Source organism: Homo sapiens, chromosome 6, assembly GCF_000001405.40.
Source record: "Homo sapiens chromosome 6, GRCh38.p14 Primary Assembly".
NCBI classification, from domain to species: Eukaryota; Metazoa; Chordata; class Mammalia; order Primates; family Hominidae; genus Homo; species Homo sapiens.
In genome coordinates this window covers 130,370,115-130,394,341 of record NC_000006.12, presented here as the reverse complement: position 1 = coordinate 130,394,341, position 24,227 = coordinate 130,370,115, and the positions used below count along the sequence as shown (strand labels likewise).

At 38.7% G+C, this 24,227-nt stretch overlaps 1 protein-coding gene across 8 annotated transcripts in view; it reads right to left on the bottom strand.

The window, feature by feature from the left end:
* Positions 1-24,227, bottom strand: part of TMEM200A (transmembrane protein 200A) — a 77,537-nt gene that overhangs the window by 48,726 nt on the left and 4,584 nt on the right. For 4 of the 8 annotated variants that reach the window (XM_005266816.4, XM_047418151.1, XM_047418152.1 and 1 more), the window contains one exon: positions 9,106-9,169. The exons of 3 other annotated variants lie outside the window; for them this stretch is intronic. The gene's annotated coding sequence lies outside the window, so the exon portion shown is untranslated. Of the gene's footprint in view, positions 1-6,749; positions 7,025-9,105; positions 9,170-24,227 lie in introns of all 8 variants that reach the window. One more of the 8 variants, XM_047418153.1, reaches the window with a different exon arrangement.

Sequence of the window (24,227 nt, the reverse complement as noted above, 5' to 3'; positions counted from 1 at the left end):
CGAAAGGGAATTTCAATATGACAGTTGTGAAACAGCAAAAATCACATCAAGCCTTGATAAAGGTTCTTTTTTGCATAGCAGTTCAGCATTTCTCTTTAAGCAGTCTCAGGCTTACAGACTCTAGGCTGGGTTCAGGAGAAGGATGTTGGCTCCCTCAATATAGAACAATCAAGATCCAAATCTGATGTTGGTATAAGGTTTGGAGAAATGGACAAATACTGACTTCAAACCCTAACAATGAAATCCCAAGTACAGTATATTGAATCACTAAATACAACTAGGGATGTGATTTGTTGCTATTTCAACTCAACAGCAGTGTAAAATAATGGGAACAGAAACTCATTCATCATTCCAATCAAAGAGGCATATGTGATATTCAATCTGTAGGATCAAGACAGGAAGAAAACTCTTTACTCAAAGGGTGGGATGAGATTCCAATAAATAAACCATGGTTAGAGATGTTTCAAATGTAATTTTAAAGATGATGTATTTGGACAATGCAGCAATTGTTTCCTGGATCAGGATTTCTTCTTTTCAGACATCATGGCATAAAATGGTTAGTGATGTTACTAAATGGTGTTTTGGTCATCTCTACAGTGCTGAGAAAACTGTACACCATTTCCCGTTTTACATGATGGGCCTGGAAAATAATCTTGAAAAAAGGACTCTTCAGACTATTGTTTTTAGCAGCAAACTAATTTACAAATTATGCTTACACAGAAAATGACAAAACACTATCACCATTGGCGGCTGAAGCAACGTGATCCCAACCCATTCGGACCCCATGAACATGATCTTTGCTCAGGCTCGCATGTGAAGCCGTGTTGACACTGGAGGACTTAAAACTGATGTAACACGTCTGCCCATTGCACACCCACCTCTGATATTTTAACTGGTCATTTCTGGCCCACAGGCAATGATGTGACAACATTTGTTGAAAAATTACTTCATTTTCTATTGCCATAACACTAGGTATATATTTTTAAATAGCACTCTATTGTCAGAATTAATTTTTTTTCTCTTCTGGTATTTCTCCCTTACAAGATCAAATTCCTTAAAATTAGGGACAATTAAAGAAGACAGCATGACTTAATACCCAGATCCCTTGGTCTTCCTCTCTCTACTACCTACTGCCGATTAACTTACTCAGCTAGGACCTCTGATAAGATCCCAGCTTTTAGCTTCTCTTTGGGTATCTACTGATCTCTCGCTTCTATCCAACAGAGATGCCTGCATGGTTTCTTCATTCACAATTTGGCTGGTTAATTCCATCAATGAATTCTTAAACAGTTTTGCTCCCATGATTTTGTAAGTCTATACTGTCTGATTCAATCTTATGGAATCCTAGCTGTATTGAACTACAAATAGTTATTAAACACCTACTACATGTCAAGAAATGTGCTACTCACTGTAAAAACCAAAATAAATGAGGAATCAAAATGAATGAGATGTCAAAAACTCACAATTTAGTGGGGGAAATAAATCAAGAAACACAAGTTATGCATCGTAAGTGCTAGAAAGTACATGTGCACAAAGTGCTATTGTGGTAAGAAGACAGGCACAAAGTATAGCAGTGATCTCAGGGAAGGGTGGTTAGGTGTTGCTTGTAAGATGAAGAAATGCTTGAGCTGTATCTTAAAAATGAGTACATGTTAGCTCAACAAAGAAAAGAGAAGAAAAAGAGGAGGGAACAGCTAACACAAAGGCATAGAAGCATGTTGGGATTTGAGTTACTAGGCGATGGGAGACACTAAAAAATATATCTCTGTACAGGCATCAAGAAAATGGACAGATAGGCTGACAGTGAAACCGGAGGCGGAAAGGCTTAAAAGGCTACTGCTGTAATGATTTGGGTAAAAAAGGATCAAGGCCTGCACTGAAGCTATTGCACTGGAAATGAAATGGGCAAGAATGAACTGTGCATACTGCACTGAAATGGGAGGCAGGATAAAGAAAATGTAGAAACTTGATGGGTGGGAACAGGGAAATAGTGAGGGCAAAAGTAAGAAACAGCTCTCAAGTATTTGGTTGAAGCTTGTTTTGAGATAATAACATCTACTTTTATTCAACAGGCTATGCATTGTTTTCTAGGTGATTTATATGCATTACCTCATTAAGTAACTTACATGCATCACCTAATTTGATCTTCACAATAACACTGGAAGATCAGTATCAATTTGACAGATAAGGAAAATGAGATAGAGGGTAGGTAATCTGTACAAGGTCACTGGGTTATTAAATAGCAAAGCAAGATTCTCACTCCAGAACCCCTACACCATTCCCTGGGATAAAGAATCTTGGCCGTGTGTGGTGGCTCACGCCTGTAATCCCAGCACTTTGGGAGGCCAAGGCAGGAGGATCACGAGGTCAGGAGATCGAGACCATCCTGGCTAACGCGGTGAAACTTTGTCTCTACTAAAAAATACAAAAAATTAGCCGGGCATGGTGGCGGGCACCCGTTATCCCAGCTACTCGGGAGGCTGAGGCAGGAGAATGGTGTTAACCCAGGAGGTGGAGCTTGCAGTGAGCCGAGATCGTGCCACTGCACTCTAGCCTGGGCGACAGAGCGAGACTCTGTCTCAAAAAAAAAAAAAAAAAAAAAAAAAAAAAGGAATCTTGAAGGTTTAAAAGAAGTGAAATAAGATGGTGAGTTTAGTTTTATGCATACTGGGTCTCTGTTTCTGGACCTTGTGAAATATACAAGAGGAGACCTCTAGTAATACTATGAGCTAACAGGTAGGTTCTAAGCTAGAGATAATATATTTGGGGATATTCCGGTTATTTGTTGGAGCCTGGGTATGGGAATTGCTACAGAGTTTAAGAGAGAGCGGGAGAGAGAGAGAAAGATGCCTTTAATTTCTGCCTGGTCCTTAAAGCCTAACATCTCAGGTATCCTATCCCAGATTTCCCTCTTCTTTGAGTGAACACATTGTCTAATTATATCAATGATGGGGCATAGGCAAGAGAAAGATCTGAGAAGGTGGTGGCATTAATGGTTTCAGGAAAGAAACCTGAGGTTATGGTGAGTCCTTGTCTTTTTGGTCCAGAACAAAATAAAAATCCACTGCATATAATGAATCAACATAGGTATTATAACTGATAACTTCTTTAAGTATTTCTTAAACCTTTTTCTCTTTCCACATTTATTGCACTTCTATGGGTGTCCGAGCTGTGGCACCAGAGAAAGACATCACACTACCCTCTAGGGGCTGGCAGTCTGGTGAGAAGGGGCACAGGTAAACTGATATTTACATCACAAAGCAGTGACTGCTGTATGTATGCAGTGGTGCTCATTCCGAGGCATTTTTGTCCCGCAGAGGACACTAGGCAATGTCTGGAGACAATTTTTTGCTACAACTTGGGGTAGAGCACTACTAGCACACAGTAGGTAGAGGTTACAGATGGAGCTAAACACCCTACAATGCATAAAAGTTATTCAGTCCAAACTGTCAATAGTGTAGAGGTTGAGAAACCCTATTGTGATGAAGGTGAGCTGACAGAGAGCAGAGCAGTGAACAAAAACTCAAAGGTGCCTGGGAGATTCAAAGCAGCCTCACCAACATGGAAGCTGACTTTAGAAGGAGCAATTTGCCAAGCTAATATGTCAATATCTGATTCTAGCAGATATCTCCTCCTTGCTATGCAGTATTTGCTTTTCATAGTCTCACTCCATTATCAGTATTAAGTAAGAAATACTATTATATGCAACACATTCCCCTCTATGCTATGGAGGAGAAATAGTCATAAAAAAGACAGGATTTGTACCTTTAAGGGTATAAAGAATACTAAGGTTTGTCAAGCTTTTTAACATACTTTATCATTTAATCCTCAGCAGTCCTATCAAGTAGGCAGTACTAGTTTCACTCTGTAAAGTCAGAAAGAGCTCACTGAGATTAAATGACATACTGTAGCCCACATAGGGCTGCTCTGATACACAACGTGTGTTACATTCAGATGATATGGTAAAAAGCCATGGTCATTTCACCAAAACACAACACATTTGAATTTGCTCTACAGCTATGGTTTTACAACTTCGGAATGCTTCTAGGTTAAAACTATAATAGATGACACAGAGGTATAATGAGATCTTATTTCTCCAACATTCAAACCACAAAGATTAATTAAACAAAACTGTATGACTTATAATCATATCTATCAGATCCTGAGATTTAGTAAGTGAAAAAACAGTTAAATTATATTCAAAAATAATTTGGGGGTTGTTGGGCATTTCATTTTTTATACTTTTTTTGAAAACTGATAAGCATTTACAGCAATTCATGGTTAAACAGAACATCTAAGAAACCAAAACACGTTTCTGGCCATTCTCGACAAGTGCCTAATGAACCTGTAAGCAAAATAACTTTTATTAGTAACTCTTCGTTATCAGTATGAGCAATTTTTACCCGGCTAATTGTTCTCATAAAGTAAAATATATTAACAAAGAACTGGATGGGGATCCTAGAACTTTAACAATGGAAGCCCATGTAATAAAATGAAACCAGGGAATCTCAATCTGAGTCCCTTAGTTAGCACAACTGGGCTGGAAATTTTACTGAGTAGTTTTGAAATTTCTGAGAAAATCTGAAGTTCTGTGGATCTCTCTGAACCCACTGCTGGTGTTAAAATCTGGCCTGTGATATTATGTATCTAAAATTAATGATTTCTCAAAATTCTAACAAGCTATATTATTGTTATTATTGGTGTTAAAATCTGGCCTGTGATATTATGTATCTAAAATTAATGATTTCTCATTAATTCTAACAAGCTATATTATTGTTAGAATTTCTCAAAATTCTAACAAGCTATATTATTGCTTTCCTCCTATTCAAAATATTTTGGTAGAGGGTCCTAGAATACATATTAACTTTATCACTTTCAAGCTTATAACCTCTTCTTTCTCTCACATTGTTCTTTACGTAGGATATAGAGTTGTGAGTTGAGGGAAGACGTGACACAGTGTCAAGAGACTGCCCGTTTCAAAATCTACACTTGACCTTCTGTTCAGTGCACTACAGGAGGGAGTGCCCAGGGCTGGAAATCAGGAGAGCCCATAACTGCTTCTGCTTCCACTTATATCTTGTTGTGTGACTGGGTAAAAAGCTGTGGTCATTTCACCAAAAACATTTAGTATTTTTATCAATACTAAATCTTCATTTGCTCATCTGTAAAATCAGGGGACTACATTACAAGATCTTCTAGTCTATCCAAATCTAACAATCTATAGTTCGAATCTAAAACTGTATTTTACAGTTCTACTTTGTTGAGAGTCAAAGACAATATCTTTGACTTATCTAAAGATAATAGAGCTAGACCGTAGTGCTACTTTCATATTATATGTATTTTATATTTTCTATAAAATTTATTTTATCTCATATCTATTCAAGAAATCATTGTTCAAAACATGATTTAGGTTTTGTAAGTAATTTCTCTTAAATATACTAATTAGTGTTAAAATTATTGCTACTTGCTGATGTGCCAAATGTCATGAGTTAGGTGATTTTATAAACACACTTATCTGCAGTGGTTGATGCAATTCCCACAAACTGGGGCAATGATACTTTCTGTAAGGATATTCTAATGTTTTATTTTTTCATTCTTGCCAATTTTAGTATTTACAATTGAGTAATGAACTATTTAATGTAAACATCAACTATATATTTACAAATATAAAAACAAATAGCCATCATTTCTGATGACAAGATTGAGAAATATGAGTATCTACTTATGCCACTCAGCAAAAGAACCAATCATCTTATTAGAAATATAAAAAAATAAGGATATATGAATTTAGATTGTGAAATACTATGCATGAATGAAAACATGTACAAGCGAGAATCCACATTTAACATCTACAGAAACAGAACTTATCTAAGCAATGAATTGTCACACCCTGAGGCTATGCCTCATGTTCCTTATTGAGGGCAGATATAACTCCTGTCTTGATAATTCATTCCAGGGGGTTATCACTTTGGGAAACATCTACACAGCTAATATCCTAATGTTGTAGTTTATTTTCTTTTTAATTGGTTATTCACTAGGAAAGTAGATATCTGAGTCCTACAGCATCTGAAAGCCATTATTATAAGCCTTCCCTTCTCCAGAATAATCCTAGTTCCTTTCACATTTTCCAACTTCTTAATCAAGCCTTATTGCTTGCCTAGAACTTCAACTCCTTCACTTCCTTCTTTTTGGTTAATTTCTAAAACCGATGCAGGAATCTCCAAGGGATCTCCACTAGTACAGAGTATAATAAACTTACTAAGTTTTAAACTGTTATTCTCCCCTTTCCTGAGCGGCACTTGCTATGCTACCTTCAACTCCCATCATGAAAACTTCCACCTGTGAAAGGAAAATTATTTTGAGAATCAGAAACTAACCGCAAATCAATTCTCTAAGACTTAGGAATACCTACCCTTACACTTTTGTATTCTTTCCTACCTTGAAAAAGGCAAACAGGATTTTAAAAGCTTTTTAAGAGAAAAGACACCAGAAGTTGGATAGGGCTCTAAACCACTCAAGTAAGAAATTTTAAACCTAAATATTCTCAAGTCTAGTTGCCAAAGAGCCTCATGCATAACTGTTTTGGGGAAACATAATTAAGAGTGTGGAAACTAAGTCACAATTTCAATCTAGAATTCCCTTAACATATTTGAGTGCTGTTGGCTTAAGCAAATGCAAACAAGACTTAAGAAGCCATGTGGCCAAGTCCACATGATTGCATTCAAACAGAAAAGAAAAGAGTTGTTTACCCTTTTAAGAACTCTATCCAGACTGGGTGTGGTGACTCATGCCTGTAATCCCAGCACTTTGGGAGGCCGAGGCAGGCGGATCACCTAAGATCAGGAGTTCGAGACCAGCCTGGCCAACATGGTGAAACCCCATCTCAACTAAAAATTCAAAAATTAGCCGTGCATGATGGAGGGTGCCTGTAATCCCAGCTACTCAGGAGGCTGAGGTGGGAGAATCACTTGAATCTGGGAGGCAGATGTTGCAGTCAGCCGAGATCACGCCATTGCACTCCAGCCTGGGTGACAGAGCGAGAGTCCGTCAAAAAACAAACAAACAAACACAACTCTATCCAAATAAAAATATCCATTCTGCTACAAAGAAATTATAGGAGATTTTGCAATAGACTTTAATGCTGTTATATTATTTTTACTATAAACACAGGTAAAAAACATCCTTTCCTCTTAGGCATCTCAGTGTCTTGCACTACCACCTTCATATAAGAAACACATATTGTCACAAAATGGCACAATTAGAAAGAATCTTAAAGATCAAGTCCTCTTAGCATTGATAATTAAAGGCCCTCTTCTGCCCACTCACTTCAACAGCATTAAAGGATTACTGATGAATGAACTGTGTGACTGCCTCCACCATAACTGGACGGTTTCAGGTTTAGAAATAGGTTCTCCATGAAAGAGTGCCTGGGAGTAATGCAGGAGTGCCTTATAAAAAGATCTGGCTTCCAAATGATGCTGGCGAAGAAAAAGGAATATGCCTTTGAGCATAGTTTTAAAGTAACAGTAAGTTAATGCAAGGCAAATTTGTTTTATTTGAAAATGCTCCAAGCTCCTATCTGTCGAAACGACATTCTTACAATTTCTTGGGGGTTTTTTGGTTTGTTTGTCGGAATTTTTTGGTGAAAACAAAATCTTAATGCTAATCACCTAGAGTATCTTTTAAAGATCTATGGTTTCCTTTCTGCACTAGAAGTTGATGTTTGAAAAGGGTAAGGACTGGAACAATTTTGCATCCATGTGGAAGGAAAAACCAGACATCTAAGATGAAGAGGGTAAACTTTCCTAATCTCTTCCCTAGGTTCTCTCTAAAGGTCTAAAAAGATCATCAATTTCAATTCCCAGGTGCCAGTCTTTGGCTGACAATAACATAGTTTCCTTTAGTGACTCTAAGAGTAGCTTATAAAAGGTGCATCTTTAGAGCAATCACAGTTGGCTCTGACAAGCAGAATTTTGGTCCACAGCAGTTTTCAGCCCCGTTCTAAGCAAACTCAGTGGCTACCCCTTTTAGCAAAGAAGACTTTGAAACACTCAAGTGCTGCACACAGAAAACATTCCCACATACCCCGACCCTTCCTCTGAGCTTCAGTGAATGAGGTTGGTCCCTGTTCAAGCTCCTGGATTTACTGTATTGGAGATCATTTATCTTAGAGGTATCTTAGAGGGGCTGTGATTACTCAGAGAATGAAAGCCAAAAAGCTCTCTCAATACAATAGATTATTTTCTCCCAAAACTGAATGTTAGTTGTTTTATAAACCAAGTTACACACCTAGATACATACACACAAGTGAAATAAAGAATAGAGAAAAATTCTAGATAATTGAAGTTTAAGAGTCCCCTTACCAATATACAAAACAATTTTCTTCAGGATATCAACATTATTTCAGAAACATGGGATTTTCTTCTTCAACTTAAGGATCGTTTTCTCAACTGTTCATTTTGCATTTCAAGGCACCTTTTGCCAAAGGGCAAAAGGTGATCCCTAAAAATTCATCTGCAAATTATTTCTGTAGTTTATGTAAAATAATATGAGATTACATAGCATCATGAAATGGTTAATGCTCAGACTCTTAGAAGTTTTCAAAAACAAAAACAGCATGAAAGATTACAGGTTACAAGGTATAAACCTCCTTTTATTCCAAGCAGAACAAATGTAATTTTGAAATTACAGAAGAGCAAAGAAAATTATTTTTTTCTGTAGTCAATGAGCTTCTAATTAAGGGCCTTTTCTCTTGGGGATTTGAGTGGAGAGAAAAGAATGAGAGGAATGAGGAGCTGTCTTGCTAAAACAGCCTACTCTATAAAATGACCTATACAATTATTTTTACAGTGAGTGTTTCACCAGAGCAGAGACCTATCTCTATCTTAATTTAAAAATGCTTATTGCAAGGAACTTTGAAATGTCCAAATAAGACATCTGGTTTATTTAACCAAGCTAAGGAAATAATTGCCTGACAAAGTCCCACTAATAAACTCTGTTAGCTCACTGGAAGAATAAACTCATTACAAAAAAATCATCATAAAAAGTCACCATCCAGGTGATCAGTCTCCCAGGTCCCTGACGTCATTCCCTGCTGTCGCTCACCTCCAGAGCCAGATGTCCCAGGAAATCCCTTGCTCTCTTCAGTCGTTTTCAGCGGCTCTGTGTGCTAAGAAATTAAGAATTTTTATTATGTGAGCTCCATAACTGACAATGTCGCAAATTTACATGCATGAAGCATAATGTCAACAAATCAAATCCTCTTTCTACTTTTTTCTGTCTGACTACTTTCTTCCACATTTATATCCAAAAGAATATATTAGAAATGACTGAATGGTCATGTGTTTCTTTCTGCCACCAGATGAGATGCTATGATAGAGATAAATCCATTTGCAAAAAGATAATAAATGTACTCCAAATGTAAATTTTTGTGTATTAGAAGAAAAGCAAAAACAATCCCAAACTGTCTAACATCCTCAAACTTCTAAAGAAAATGAAAAGAAATTCTGTCAGAAAATTTTATAGGAGAGTTACCTACCCATTGACCAGTTCATTGTAATGTGATTTGATCATCACTTCAAAGGTTAAGCTTGATAGAAAATACAAAATATCTAATGATACATATCAGAAACATGCTATTCCTTTCTGAATCAAGGAAACTACAAAGGAAAGTTTGAAGTGTCACAAGAATTAACATTTCCTTTTTTATTAATTAAAACAATAATTTTCTGGCCAGGCAGGATGGATCACACCTATAATTGCAGCACTTTGGAAGGCCAAGGTAGGAGGATCCCTTGAGGTCAGGAGTTCAAGACCAGCCTTGGCAACATAGCAAGACCCCATCTCTACAAAACATTAAAAAATTCACTGGGTGTGATGGCATACACTTGCAGTCTCACCTACTCGGGAGGCTGAGACAGGAGGATTACTTGAGCACAAGTATTTGAGGGTACAGTGAGCTATGATCATGCTACCGCTTTCTGGCCTGGGCAAACCTTTAAATAAATAAATAAAACAAAAATAAAAACACAGGTAACAGAACATTATACAGCCTTTACAAAGGCATGCTTACAAAAATTTCAGTAACATGATAAATGCTTATAATAAACTACCAAAAAGCATTCACAAACGGTAAGCTTATTTCTTATAAAAGACTAACAACAACTGACAACGTTGAGAAAGTACTTAACAAGTGATTTCTTCTTTTCTCTCTTTTCTTTTTTAGACAGAGTCTCACTTTGTCACTCAGGCTGGAGTGCAGTGTTGGCATCTCAGCTTACTGCAACCTCCATTTCCTGGGTTCAGGCGATTCTCGTGCCTCAGCCACCCAAGTAGTTGGGACCACAGGTGTGCACCACCACACCTGGCTAATTTTTTGTATTTTTAGTAAAGATGGGGTTTCACCATGTTGGCCAGGCTGGTCTCAAACTTCTGACCTCAAGGGATCCCCCCCGTCTCAGCCTCCCAAAGTGCTGGGATTACAGGCATGAACCACCGCTCCCTGCCTCTTCTTTTCTCATATAATTTGAATAAATTATTCCTACGAGGTTCTATGGGTCCCATGGCCTCCAAAGTTTTAATACTTGTCAGAATTATTCAAAACATTTTAAAAAGGAAAAAATAATCTTTTATACTCATAATGAAGGCAGTATTCACCATGTCTTCATATTCATTTTTACCTTGATGCCAACCACCTGTGATTTGTTAAAACACTAAAAATTAAAAGGAAACTAAAAATACTTACTAGCGTTTTAAATCACAACAGCTCATAATTTATTGATCAGTATTTTCAGAGATCCAGAAAGCTATGTCTGGATACACAGCTGAGTGAAGATGGCTATGGGAACCAGATTATTTGCCATCGCCAGACATTCAAGTTTTCAAACTTCAACTTTATTAAGACGGCATCATGAACGTTTCAAAACATCAAAGTGAATAAGGCCAAGAATGGGAGCAGATTATCCCCTGTCATAAATACTTCCCATCTGGCTGTTGTGGAATGCCAGCATGTTGGAACTTGCTGCTCACCTCACAGTGTCTCATTCTTTTCAGGATGGCATTGCTGACTTCCTAGCAATTGGGAAGAGAAAAATTCCAAGGCTAGGGTGGCTCTTTTTCTGAGCTAGTTAATGCCCTTGGTTTGATATGACGTGTTCCTCAGTTGAGTGGAACTGTCTTGCCCGATGCTACGGACAACTAATGAATCCCATGGAGTGCCGTCCTAATTCAATTGAATGTGACAAATTTAATAATGCCTGAGCAAATAGATGTAGGCCATGAGGAGGAGTCACAAACACAGTGTAACATCATGCCTGGCCTCAAGGAACTCACACAGCCCCTTGGGTGAGATGGTTTGCTTCCTGATCTAGAGTCACTAGGGAGGCAAAGCAGGTGCCTCGAGGAACCAGGCCACAGACAAGTGACTTCACAAATAACACAAATGTTCCTGCTTCATGCCACTAGCTCGCCCCTTCCCCAAGAAGATGGAAGAAGTTCTTGAAGGCCAGAGGAAGGGGGATACTTTTAGTGGGGCTCAGTCATTACCCTGAATCCATCCACTAGTCTCCAAAAATCAAGCACTCAATTCTCCATCAACAGAGCTGAAATGGGCTCTAATTTTTGGTAACATTGCCAGTGGTAAAATCACTAAAGGAAAAAAAAATCTTTCATGTTCCACTCTCCACTCAACTCTCTTTGTTGTCCTGAGGAGATTAAGTCCACTTCTACTACTTATAGCCCTGGGTTTAGGATAGAGACAGAAGATAGACCAGTCACTATCATTTCATACAAGCTTATCTGCTGGCATGAGCAAAGCACCCTGAAGGTGCTGGAAGGTGCAACCAACTCTCCTGAGAAAGGCCAGAGAAGACTCCACGAAAGAGATGCACTAATTCAAGGTGGGTCTAGAAGAATGAAAAATGCCTCCCCAGCAAGGATTTCCCATCCAGGCAGAGCTAACAGCTGTTTCATGTAGAGCATGCATGTGCACAGGGCAAGTGTAACCAGGTGAGACGGAATGGAGAGAGGCAAGTGCGAGCCGAAAGGGAAGGGAACAACACTGGGCAGTGTCCACTTTGTGCCACACACTGTGCCAGATCTTCACTTACATGGCCTTTCATACTGCCCCCCACCAACCTCCTAAGGTGGTCATGCTGCCCTACACTAAACTGGAGCTCTGCAAGGTGAAGTAATTTGCCCAAGGTTTCATAGCTCTTAGGTAGTAATGCTCTAATCCTCCTGTGATTTTCAAATTATCCTTGGCAATGGGATTCTTTTTTCCAAAAAAAATCTCAACTGAATCATAAGTAGCCCAGATCATAAAAGGTTCACAATATATCTTTAAAACTATCTTTGAAGGAGAGCCACTTCAGCAAGGCAGCCAGATGGCAGTGTGTTCTGGAGTGAACGGAAGAGGAAGCCACAGATCAGAGAAGCTGCAGACAGGTCGGTTAACCATCCTTTCAAATGTTAACCTTCAGTCAGCAATTTCTCAAATTCTACTAGATAACCTGTGGAACTAAAGGGTAAAAACCAAATAAACCTTTCTGCTTCCTAGACTTGAATTTTAAAATGACATGGTCTTTCCATAAACTTTTAATTTGTGCATCTCAACAACAACAACAACAACAAAGAGGTAGCCTCCCATCATCCAGGTACAATATCATCCTGTCTGTATGGCATAGCACAAGGCAGCTTTGAGCCCGCACTCAATGTTCTGCAGTTGTCACAGAAACATGGTGGACATTCTCTGATTGTTGTACTGGGAGGAAAATTAGTCTCTGGCACTGTAATCCGAGCCTGATACTTGTTTTTCTGCAACTTCTCAACTGATGTATGTGTCCAAGGGGAAGTCAACTTCCACAAATATAAATATCCTCTCTCATCAGGAAAACAGTGCCACTTCCCTCACGGGCCATCTTCAGAGATGGTTCACCCAAAGGCACAGATTTAAAAAAAACAAAACTATATTTTTTTGTTAGGGGCAGGCAAGAGGATGGATCATCAAATACAGACAGCAATATCTAGCACTGCTTCTTATGACCCATTGCTGATGAAGGTCATCCATAACTGACAGACACAGATGCCAGGACAGATAGGACCACTGATAAGTTCCCCTTCTAAGCATTCAAATAAGAAGAGAAAGATGCCAAAGGACTGACTGGAGGCTTCTTATTAAACAGGAGACTCTGAATGGCACTGTGCTAACTCCCAGATGACTCAAAGTCTAGGAGAGTTTTCACTTTATACTTCTAAGTTATAACTTAAGAGAGTACTATAGATATATTAAGCATTATTAGGTGCTTTGATAACTTCATTTTAAAAATTACTTCTGAAACTTAATTTTTATTTTTTTAGAGACAGGGTCTCACTCTGTTTCCCAGGCTGGAGTGCAGTGGCACGATCACAGCTTTCTGCAGCCTTGAATTCCTGGGCTCAAACATTCCTCCTGCCTCAGCCTCCCAAAGTGCTAGGATTACAGGCATGAGCCATCATACTCAGCCTTAATATTTTAATAGTGTAAAAATTGTAAAAAATAAAAAGATTATGTTGGTAGATTAGAGAAACATAAAATAAATGTAGTTAATCACCTTGAGACAATGCTCACACAAGGCTGATTTTGAATTTTTTCATATTCATTTCATGTACTACCAGTGACTCTCTGCTATGTATTTCACTGTAGGAAAATAAGAACAAGGATGTGATGTTCCCTCAGGGTCCACCATCACATACAGAATGGGCCAAGATAAGCTCCCAAATGAAAAGGCTAAATTCAACCTCCAATAAAAGTTGTCTTTTCTCGTCAACTTTAATGAGCTAAAATGCATTCATAATAAAAGCCAAGGTAGCCCTCAGAGTCTTCTGCTAGCTATTCAATCACTTCTTTTTTAAATTTTATACTTTCCTTATAGTGTCCTGGCAAATAGCTTAAACTTTTATTTGTGGCTTTAAAAACACCTATAACAAAAATAATATATCACTTAGCAGTAAGCCTGCAGATGCTTTAAAAAAGTTTAAAGACCTACTAAACTGGAAGGCAGCAATGGAGTTGACAGTAAGATTATATTAGTCATCAGCATGATCATGAAATTAACCTTCAGATGCACTATTCTATCACTATTTTATTGTGAAGGTACGACTATGTCTATTCTGTTCTGACAGTATCAACAACTATGACATGAAATTCAAAAAAAAGATTTTCAGTAACTTTTAATCCCATTTCACTCAAAAATTTGAAGGTTATACTACATTGGAGATGCACTTATAGATTAAATTGAAGAAACTGAACCCAAATATTCAAAAAGGGCTTCAGTAAGGACCATGTGCAAACAAAACAAAGCTTTATTGCTAATATCACGTAGCTTTCATCAGCAGTAGCACACCCCAGCTTTTCTCCTCCTACTAGGGCTGCTACTTCTCGGTATGCTCTCTATCCACCCTGAAATGTAGAAATTCCCAAAGCTTGTTCCTAAGCCTCCTTCTTTTCTCAATCTTTATTCTCTCCATAGCTTTATTTATCAACTACATACTAATGATCCTTAAATTTAAGTTTCCATTCCATATTTCTCTTCTGAGCACCAGCCCCATCTGTCCCATCTGTGCTCTTTCCCCTAAGATGTCTCACAGGCATCTCAAATTTAATGTGCCCCATACTGAACTCATGCCCTAACTAGTCACACCAACTGGTTCTGGCCAGTCTATGCAGAATGCGCAGTAAGGGTTTTTGTATCCTCTGCTTCACCGTTTGACATTGGAGGGTGGAAAAGTCCACCCACAGATCGTGTTAACCCCACCATTTTTTGTAGATGGGACCCATGGAGAGGCATGAAGCTCAATCACGCATGTGCACATTTCTCCCTTCATTAATATTTATGACTCCTCCTATGGCCTATTGAATATGCTTATTTGGCCACCACATTCAGCATAAATTCCTGTTCCCTTTGTCCCTCACTCTTAAGTATCTGTTTCTGGCTTCTGGCTGGAGGCTATGCTTCCCAGCCTGTCAGAATGGCCACTCTGCAGGCTGTAACCCTTTATGAGAAAGAAAGTCTCCTCTTCTCCTTTTCTAAATTGTAATTTTTTCCAATTTAACACAGTGTTGTCTGAAAAATTCTCCACACAGTTCTCAATCAACAACAAAATTTTGTTCACACCTCCTATGGTTTGAATGTGTCCTCCAAACTTCATGTGTTAAAAACTTAATCCCCAATTCAAGAGTGTTGAGAGGTGGAACCTCTGAGAAGTGATTAGGCCACGAGGCCTCTGCCCTCATGGATGGAGTAATGCCATTATGGAAGGAGTGGGTTAGTTATTATAGGAATGGTTTCTTCATAAAAAGAATGAGTTCAACCCCATATGCTCTCGTCCTTCTGCCATGAGATAATGCAGCAATAAGGCCTTCACCAGTTGCCAGCACCCTGATATTGCCAGCACTCTAATAATCCAGCCTCCAGAACTTGATAAATGTATTTCCTTTCTTTTTGAATTACCCTGTCTGTGATATTCATGTTACAGCAGCATGAAATAAACTAATACACCATCCAAAGTAAAATATCTCTCATTAGGCTTGGGAATTCTCTGGGCTATTCTTACTCAAGATCTTTTTTTTTTTTTTTTTTTTGAGACGGAGTCTCACTCTGTCACCCAGGCTGGAGTGCAGTGGCACGATCTTGGCTCACTGCAACATCCACCTCTCGGGTTCAAGTGATTCTCTGCCTCAGCCTCCCAAGTAGCTGGGATTACAGGCATGAGCCACCATGCCCGGCTAATTTTTTGTATTTTTTAGCAGAGATGGGGTTTCACGATGTTAGCCAGGATGGTCTCGATCTCCTGACCTCGTGATCAGCCCACCTCAGCCTCCCAAAGTACTGGGATTAGAGGTGTGAGCCACCATGCCCGGCCAAGATCTTTATCAATATCACTTTCACATGACCACATGATTTCTAAGAACATTGAATTTGAGTTCAGGCCCTATCAGGCAGGCCTATAACTGACACAGACACCTGGGATTTTAATCACTGCATATTTCCTTCTGAGACTAGCAATAAAAGTAAGGGTTAGGCCCAATAAAACCCCCACTTATGTGCCTGAACTCTAATTCAATATTCTTAGAAATCATGTGGTCACATGAAAGTGATATTGATAAAGGTTAGCCTCCTAGCAGATACTTCCCATACAACTCAGAGTAAAGTCCAAAGTTTCCTTGTGACGCCAACACCCTCTGTGAGCCCCTGCTTTGTTCTAATCACACTGGCCTCTATGCTAATGCTACTCACACAGTCCAAGCCAACTCCCACCCCACACACTGACTCCTTATGGCCTTTGCACTTTCTATTCCTCCTGCGGCACACTCCTTCACAGGATATACTAATGATTTCTTCCCTGGCATCATTCAGGTCTCTGCTCAAATGTCAGACCTTATCAGAGAGGGCTTCCTTGGCCATGCTACTCTACATCCATCCTAACTGCTCTTAGTCCCTGGGCTCTGCTTTATTTTTCTTCTTCTTATTTGTCACAACAAATTATACATGTATTGTCTGTCTTCCCCAGCTGGAATATAAGGCTCATAAAGACAGGAACTTTGTTTTGTTTCAGATTATATTTCCAGTGCCTAAAATAGTACATGGTAAGTACTCAGAAAATGTTTATTGAATGAATAAATAAAAGTATAAATGAGTGAGGCTCTACTGGAAATGAAAGCAGCAGGATTGAGGCCTCTTCAATCCAAAACTGCAGGAGGACTTGGAGGAGCAGCTTAGGTCACTGTACTCTGAAGTCAATGAGTCAATATGCAGCCCCACATGCAGGAGGATAAAGAAGGGAGGGCTGGGTTCATGGGGTTCTAGGTAGGGATGAGTCCCAGAGGCCTGCAGCTAGATGGGTCTCCTGCCAAATAAACAGATGAGATTCTGGCAGTTGGGGCAGGAGAACAGGGAATCCCTAGGATGGTATCTCTAGAAATAAGAATTGGGATGCAGGTGGCCTTGTTACCTGGAGATGGATGGCATGTGCTGCCTTTTTAACTTTGACTTCTTTTTTGTAACCTGTCTTTTCAAATCACTTAACCAAATACCAGATTTAAGGAATTACTGAATTAATTCACAATTTCACTCCTCATTACTGCCACCCCAACGTAGACTCAGGGAGTCCCATATATCATCTTATTGCAAAACTCTTTCCCTTGCTCTAAGTACTTAAAGTATTACCCAATGGCTCTCTAGCCTGAGTTTCTTGAGAAAAGCTTGTTATGCTCTTAGCATGGAACACAATGGCCAGCACTCAGTATGTGTCAATAAATGTCTGATGACTTAATAAGTATATTTGAATAGATCTCCCAGAAGACACTGAGCTAAATATTCATTAACAAGCATCATTAATTTTGTGTTATTATTGTCTTATATTCAATTATGCATGAAAAGTTCTGAATAGAGGTTAGTTTGAGAGTTGGGAGACTCACAAAATAAATAAGGAATTTCCACAAGTCAAGTAAAGTGTGATAAGACCAAGTGATATTAATAAAATCTTTATCTAAAATGTGGACTTTCCAGAGATTCCTACTTAACCAGGGAGAAAAAAAAATGTATGTGAGGAAGACGATGATTATACTTGTGTATTTTTTATTTTTCAATATTTCAATTTTAGCATTTTGAATACAATTTAAAATTACTGTTAATACTTAGAGTATAAGGAACATATTATCTCTTTCCTTTTCAAAGAAAAGGCTTAGTATTTTCATAAAAATACTGTTTTGTGTGATTTTGCTGGGTGCAGTGGCTCACACCTGTAGTCCCAGCACTTTGTGAGTCCCAAGGACAGATGGATTGTGTGAGATCAGGAGTTCAAGCCCAGCCTGGCCAACATGGTGAAACCTCATCTCTACTAAAAATACAAAAATTAGCCAGGCATGGTGATGTGTGCCTGTAGTTCCAGCTACTTGGGAGGCTACTTGTGGAGTCCCAGCATAAGAATCGCTTGAACCCAGGAGGCAGAGGTTGCAGTGAGCCAAAATCACATCACTGCACTCCAGCCTGGGTGACAGAGTGAGACCCTCTCTCAAAAAATAATTAATTAATTGAATGTGATAATTATTTAATGTGATAACAAATAAATTTGAAAATAATTAATGTGATTTTATATCCGAGGTTAATTTTTTTTCTTACAAGTAGAATATTCCACATGGTTAATTCCGCAACATTTATCAAATGTATATAATGTACAAGTCAATATGCTAGGCTCAGTTAAAGAATACAAGTTCACATAACAAAAACTCTGTGGTGGACTTACTAAGCTCTATATATTCTTTTGAAATTGCTATTTATATTTAGTTATATTTATAAATTTATTAAATATATTTACGTTATATTTATATTAAAACCCCTTTGTAGGGAGACATACTGTATATGAAATGTCTTCAGCCATATAGTGATATATGACATATCTTGACCATAACTACATATAGTCTCTAATGTGAGCATTGTTTTTGCTCCCAATACCAATATCATCATTACAGTGAGGTAATACTTTGCACTCTTCATCTCAACACTCATTTTTAATAAATGACCTCAAACATCATGCTCCAAAAGAGCAACCTTCTAATGGCTTTCCAGTGCACTGAGTATAAAACCTACTCCAATGCCCCCTCCCCAAATATGTGAGGCTGGCTCCTCATTCTCTCGCAGGTTGTAGCTTAAATGCCTCAAATGCAGAGAGGTCTTCCTTGACCATCTGATCTAAATGAGCGCATGCACTCTCTATGACATCAGATTTCTTGACTTCCCTTACAGCACTTTTTGAATGCCTGAAATTGCCTTGCTCATTTATATGTTTCCTGTTTGTGTCCTCCATTTACAATGTAAGCTCCTCCATAACTTTTTGTTTTGGTCATTACTGGATCCCCAGCTGGCAGCACAAATATTTAATGAATCCTTTATTAATTAATAAACCTTCTCCTGAGCCAAGTTTACTTTTTAACGCATGTTATAAGAGATTTTATGTGTCTTATAAGTAAGTAAATAAATGTATAGGCATAAATTCCTACACAGTGTTCTGCGTTATTGTTGTGTAAGAAGATCTGTCTCATATTTGACAAAATGAGTCATAATATAATTTAACAGCACCTGCTGAATGAATCTCTCTAAATAATCATTTGTTGAACAAATGAACGAAAATAATTTTGTTCAAAATTACTGACTGAGATCCATAAAGGAGAATAGAGTTATTACAATAGAATAATATCCTTCAACTTTTAGAAGAAAACCAAAACATTTTTTATTTTAGTTGTAAATTATTTTTGTAGGAATATAATAGTTGTGGAAAAATTGAAATTGGCACTCAAAAACCACCTCAAATTGACTGCTACTGTAAGTTTAATAGTTCCCTTTACTCTCAGTAAGTGTTTTTAGACAATAAAATACCCTGCAGAGGTATGTGTAAGATCCAAATTCCTCTTCTGGAATAAGTCAAAGTTCATTGCCATAAAACTAGGTACTGTGATGTGGTTGAATTTTCTTTGGAAAAGAGAGTAAAACCAGAAGTTTCAAAATTCAGGAAGTTTGTTTCTGGGCAATCAGTGACTAACATTATAGAAGTTTTCTAGGGGAAAAATCTCAAGCATTTTCATGGCCAGGTGAGGTTGCTCACACTTGTAATCCCAGTACTTTGGGAGGCTGAGGTGGGTGGATTACCTGAGGTCAGGAGTTCGAGACCAGCCTGGCCAACATGGTGAAACTCCATCTCTACTAAAAATAACAACAACAAAAAATTAGCCTGGCGTGGTGGTGTGCCCCTGTAATCCCAGCTACTCGGGAGGTTGAGGGAGGAAAATCGCTTGAACCTGAGAGGCGGAGATTGCAGTGAGCTCAGATCATGCCACTGCACTCCAGCCTGACTGGTGACAGAGCGAGACTCCGTCTGAAAAAAAAAAAACAAAAACAAAAACAAAAACAAAAACTCAGGCATTTTCAGATCCCACCTCCCAGCAAAACTTTGTCTAAGGTCATCTGCTAGGGACATAGCCATGGACAAAACAGTTACAGGCCTGCTCTCACTTGGGTTACAGCCCCAGTGAAAAGTGCAGTTAGAACACTCCATGACTACTAGGACCTAATATCCAAGGCTACAGAGGCGGGGCTGTCAGGGGTTTAGCTCTGCAAAAAGGGGCTCTCATCCTACATCAATCAACTTCTCTCACGGGCTGTTCCACAGCAGAGTCTGAAGAGTCCCCAAACAGGATATGTATAACACTGGCTTTCAAAAAATCATTCACAAGCTACTTTTTTCTATCATGGGCCCCTATCTGCATGTTCAGAAACATAAGTAAATTTTTAAAAGTGAAATGAATCACAATATCTTACATAGTCTACATTCTAAAAGGGAGATTTGGGTAACAAAGGAACAAAATCAGCAGTTAGCATAAACTATTCTTTTTTTCAAAATGGTGGCTTTTTTAAATTTAAAAATAAAAACAATCACCTAGTGAGAGCATGTGAAGGGTAGTTCCATGCACTGTCAGTCATAACTTCAGTTATTTGAAAATCAGTTTGGCATTAAGTATCAAGAGCCTGAAATTTTCATACCCTTTGACCCAGGAATTATCGTTCCACGAATCTTTTTAAAAGAAGTAATCTGATAAACATATATAAAATGGAATATAAATGCATTTATAACCCTTATGCACAAAAAACAGATTCTGAAATTTGAAGAAAGATTCATCAAAGTGCCATTTATAATATCAAATATTTGGAAATGGCCTAAAAGTTCAATTTTAAGGGAATAGTTAATAAATTATGATATGTCCACATAATCCAATATTATACTGACATTAATAAAGCTTGTCTAGAAGTTGGAAAATATTAAGACATAAGATTAAGCAAACAGAGTAGGTTGTAATACACTATTAAGCATTATGGAAAAAATCATTAAAAATAAGGAGAAAGAAAATGCCAAAATGTTATGAGTGCCTTTGGGTCATAGGATTACAGGCAAATTTTCTCCCTGACTTTTTATACTTAATGTATTTTTCTAAGGTTTTTATTGGGAGTGTGTATCGCCTTTATGATTAGAAAATCTAACAACATCTCTTCAGAAATGCTAACTCCATTTTATTGCAAATACTTGCACATGTATGTTCACTAAGCCGATCTGACTTACTTTGCCAAGGGAAACAAAATTTGTGTCTCTCCTATGCCAACCTCAGCTTAGAGACAGTACTGAGATTCTTTGGATTCATCCTGCATTTAAGCCCAAAGATGTTGATTCTCAAAAGGAAAATACTTTTTTTTCTCCCCAGCAGTTGCTAATCTATCAGCACCTCTGTGATTAGCTCACTATTTACAAGAAAGAGCCTACTCCTATTCACCATTGCTTTTGTGTCACAGGCCTCTAATATTCTTTGCATATCTCTACCAGCTTTATTTCAAAGCATTGTAACCATTTGTTTACATATTATTCTATTGAGTTGTTCTAAAAGTTTTACACATGGTTGTTTTACCTCTCCGAATAGGCTACAAGGTTCTCATAAATACTTCTATTTTTATACACCTTCTCATTCCCCTTCCTCTTGTTGTACATACATACACAGTCAATTGCGCACACATCCAGTCACACACCTAAGCAGATACAAATTTGGCCTTGTATTTGTTGGGGAACGATATGATGTCACTCACATTCTATTAGTAACTCATTTTATTTAGAGCATCCTCAAGTACACACCTTTGTAACTAGAGTGTTTCATGAACCTGCTACATTCAGCATGTGCTAGCGAGTGTCCTCTCTCCCTCTCTATATGTATCTACTTCTCATTTTTTCACATTTCAGGGCAGAGTATCTGTATGTATAAAGGTAAATTCAGGCCATGGCAGCTGGCAGAGGTCCCTTCTCTTGAACTGAAATCAGTGACTTAAATTAAGCCTTCCAAACATCTGACTTGCTGACGTATCTACCCTGCATAATGATAGAGATCCTGTACTGAGGGGAAAAAACCTACTAGATTATTAAGTTTTCTGCCAAAGCCAGATATAATCCTGCTGGACAATTCTCTTCAGACGGTCTGCTCTTATCTCACACTCAGATGTCTAAAAGTTAGCTTACTGTCTTCCTTCACAACCATATGCCCCTCCTGATTTCCCCATTTCCATCTCTCAGACTTGATATTGACCTTGTCCTGCTAGCACCAGGATGACTCCCTGAAGATCCAGGAAGAGGTCTGGATTCCAACAGATCTGGGTTCCATGCCAGCTCTTTCACTTTCCAGTCTGGCTCCAGGAGCTCGGGCAAGTCACTTAACCTTCTGAGCCTCCATTTCCTGGCTCAAGAAAAGTGGCGATGGTGGGGAGGCATAATATTTACCCTTCTGGAATTATAATGAAGATTTAGTGAGCTTACGTATCTAAGGCGCATGGCCTTACAAACGTTAGCTCCTTCCCTGATAGTGCCTGACAACTAATAAAATCCTGTCTCCCTCTGAGGAGCTGCCCATTCCATATTCTTATCAACTTACACCAGGAAGGATATTTAAAGCCATGGCAGATGGTAGAGTTCCTGTTCTCAGGTCAACAATCAAACTCCAGTTGTTCTATTGATCTGCCCATCTGTTCAACTGCCTGATAATTTTCCCATCCCCTTTCCTTGCTATACCCCAAACCCTAAATCCAGAATGGATGCATGTGATATTCTTTCCTTTCCAAGAATGTCTTACCTTGACATTCTTGTCCAGGTTGGCTCTGAGCATGAATGTTATCCACTTTCACCCTAATAACCTCTGTTCTGTGCCTTCTATTTGACCTGGAATTCTGGCACTCTCATTTCCTATCAGAAGGGCCAACCTTTAGCTGGTCCTTCAGTTTGGCCTGATACAGTGAATTTGACTTTGAGGTTGAGAGGTAGTTTTGCATAGTGGTTAAAGCAAGGCTTTGATGTCCGACTGCCAGGGTTTGAATTCCAGCTGTACTGCTTAATGGCCTCATAACCTTCAGTAAGTTATTTACCTCCCTGACTTTATATAAACATTAATATAATAACTTTAAAGTATGCAACATGAACCTACCATACTAAGTAGATCCTTGGTAAATGTCAGTTCTATACATGCCCCTAGGACTCATGGTGACCACAGGCCTCCTGTCTACACAATCTATTTGCTATTAACCTATCTACCACGCATAGCCATTTCACCTACTGGCCCAGGATGTCTTCCTAGTCTACTCCCTCCTGGCCTATTTCATTCCACAAATGCTTCTGTCAACAAAGATGCTCCTTCATCCTGACATATAACCTCATAAGAACTTCATAATATTGCTCACAAATTCTTGCTGCCATTACTCTAATTGGAAACCTATCATCTTATGCCTCCTAAATGAAAATCCTAATCTGTGCCTGCCACTCCCCTCTGTGCATTTCCAACAACCCAATGTATTTGCATAAACAATAGTTCTGTGTTAATCACTTCAGCTCCCTGTTCAAACTTTCACTGGCTCTACAATGGCCAAAGTAGGGGGTATCCAATCTCATCATCACTAGATGGGCAGGGCTTTTGGAAACAAAATCTCTGGGCTGGAAATAAGGCACAGGGATATTTGCTAGAAGTACATAGATATGAATAAATGGTGGCTTCCCATTCATTCCAGAATGGGTGTTTCCCATTCTGGAAACAATCCTCCTTTTAATAAAGTTTAAACATGAGGGCATTATTTCATCACTGGGCTATACCTTGCTTGGGAGAAAGGTCCCACTTTTGGGATACGCATTGTCTTGGGCACCTGAGTTGCTTCCATGTGCAAACTCCAGATCATTGTGCAGAGGGCTGTCCCAAAAAAGGAAGGAATTATTCCCAATAATAGACTATTGTTTTTGATTGGCAGCATTATTTTCTTGGGAGAACCACAACTCTATGTAATCTTGACAGAACTGCCTATCATAGTGCCCTACCAGCCTCCTCCTCCTCATCCCAGCACCAGAACCACATATACACAGGGTTGGGCACATGATTTAGTCCAATACAATCAGAGTAGCACTCTCTGCTAGACACAGAGACCAATTCAATTACCACTGAGCAGGGCCAATCAGAGCCCTTCAAGGAGATTTATAAAAATGGGACCTGGAAGAGAAAGGACCTCTTTTTCTCATAGATGAAAAGCCCAGGAATGTAGGTTTAGAAATACCCACAGTCATCTTTCTCCATATCCAGAAAGAGTGCCTCAGAATACAGCTGACCCAGAGAGAAGTGGGACTGAGAA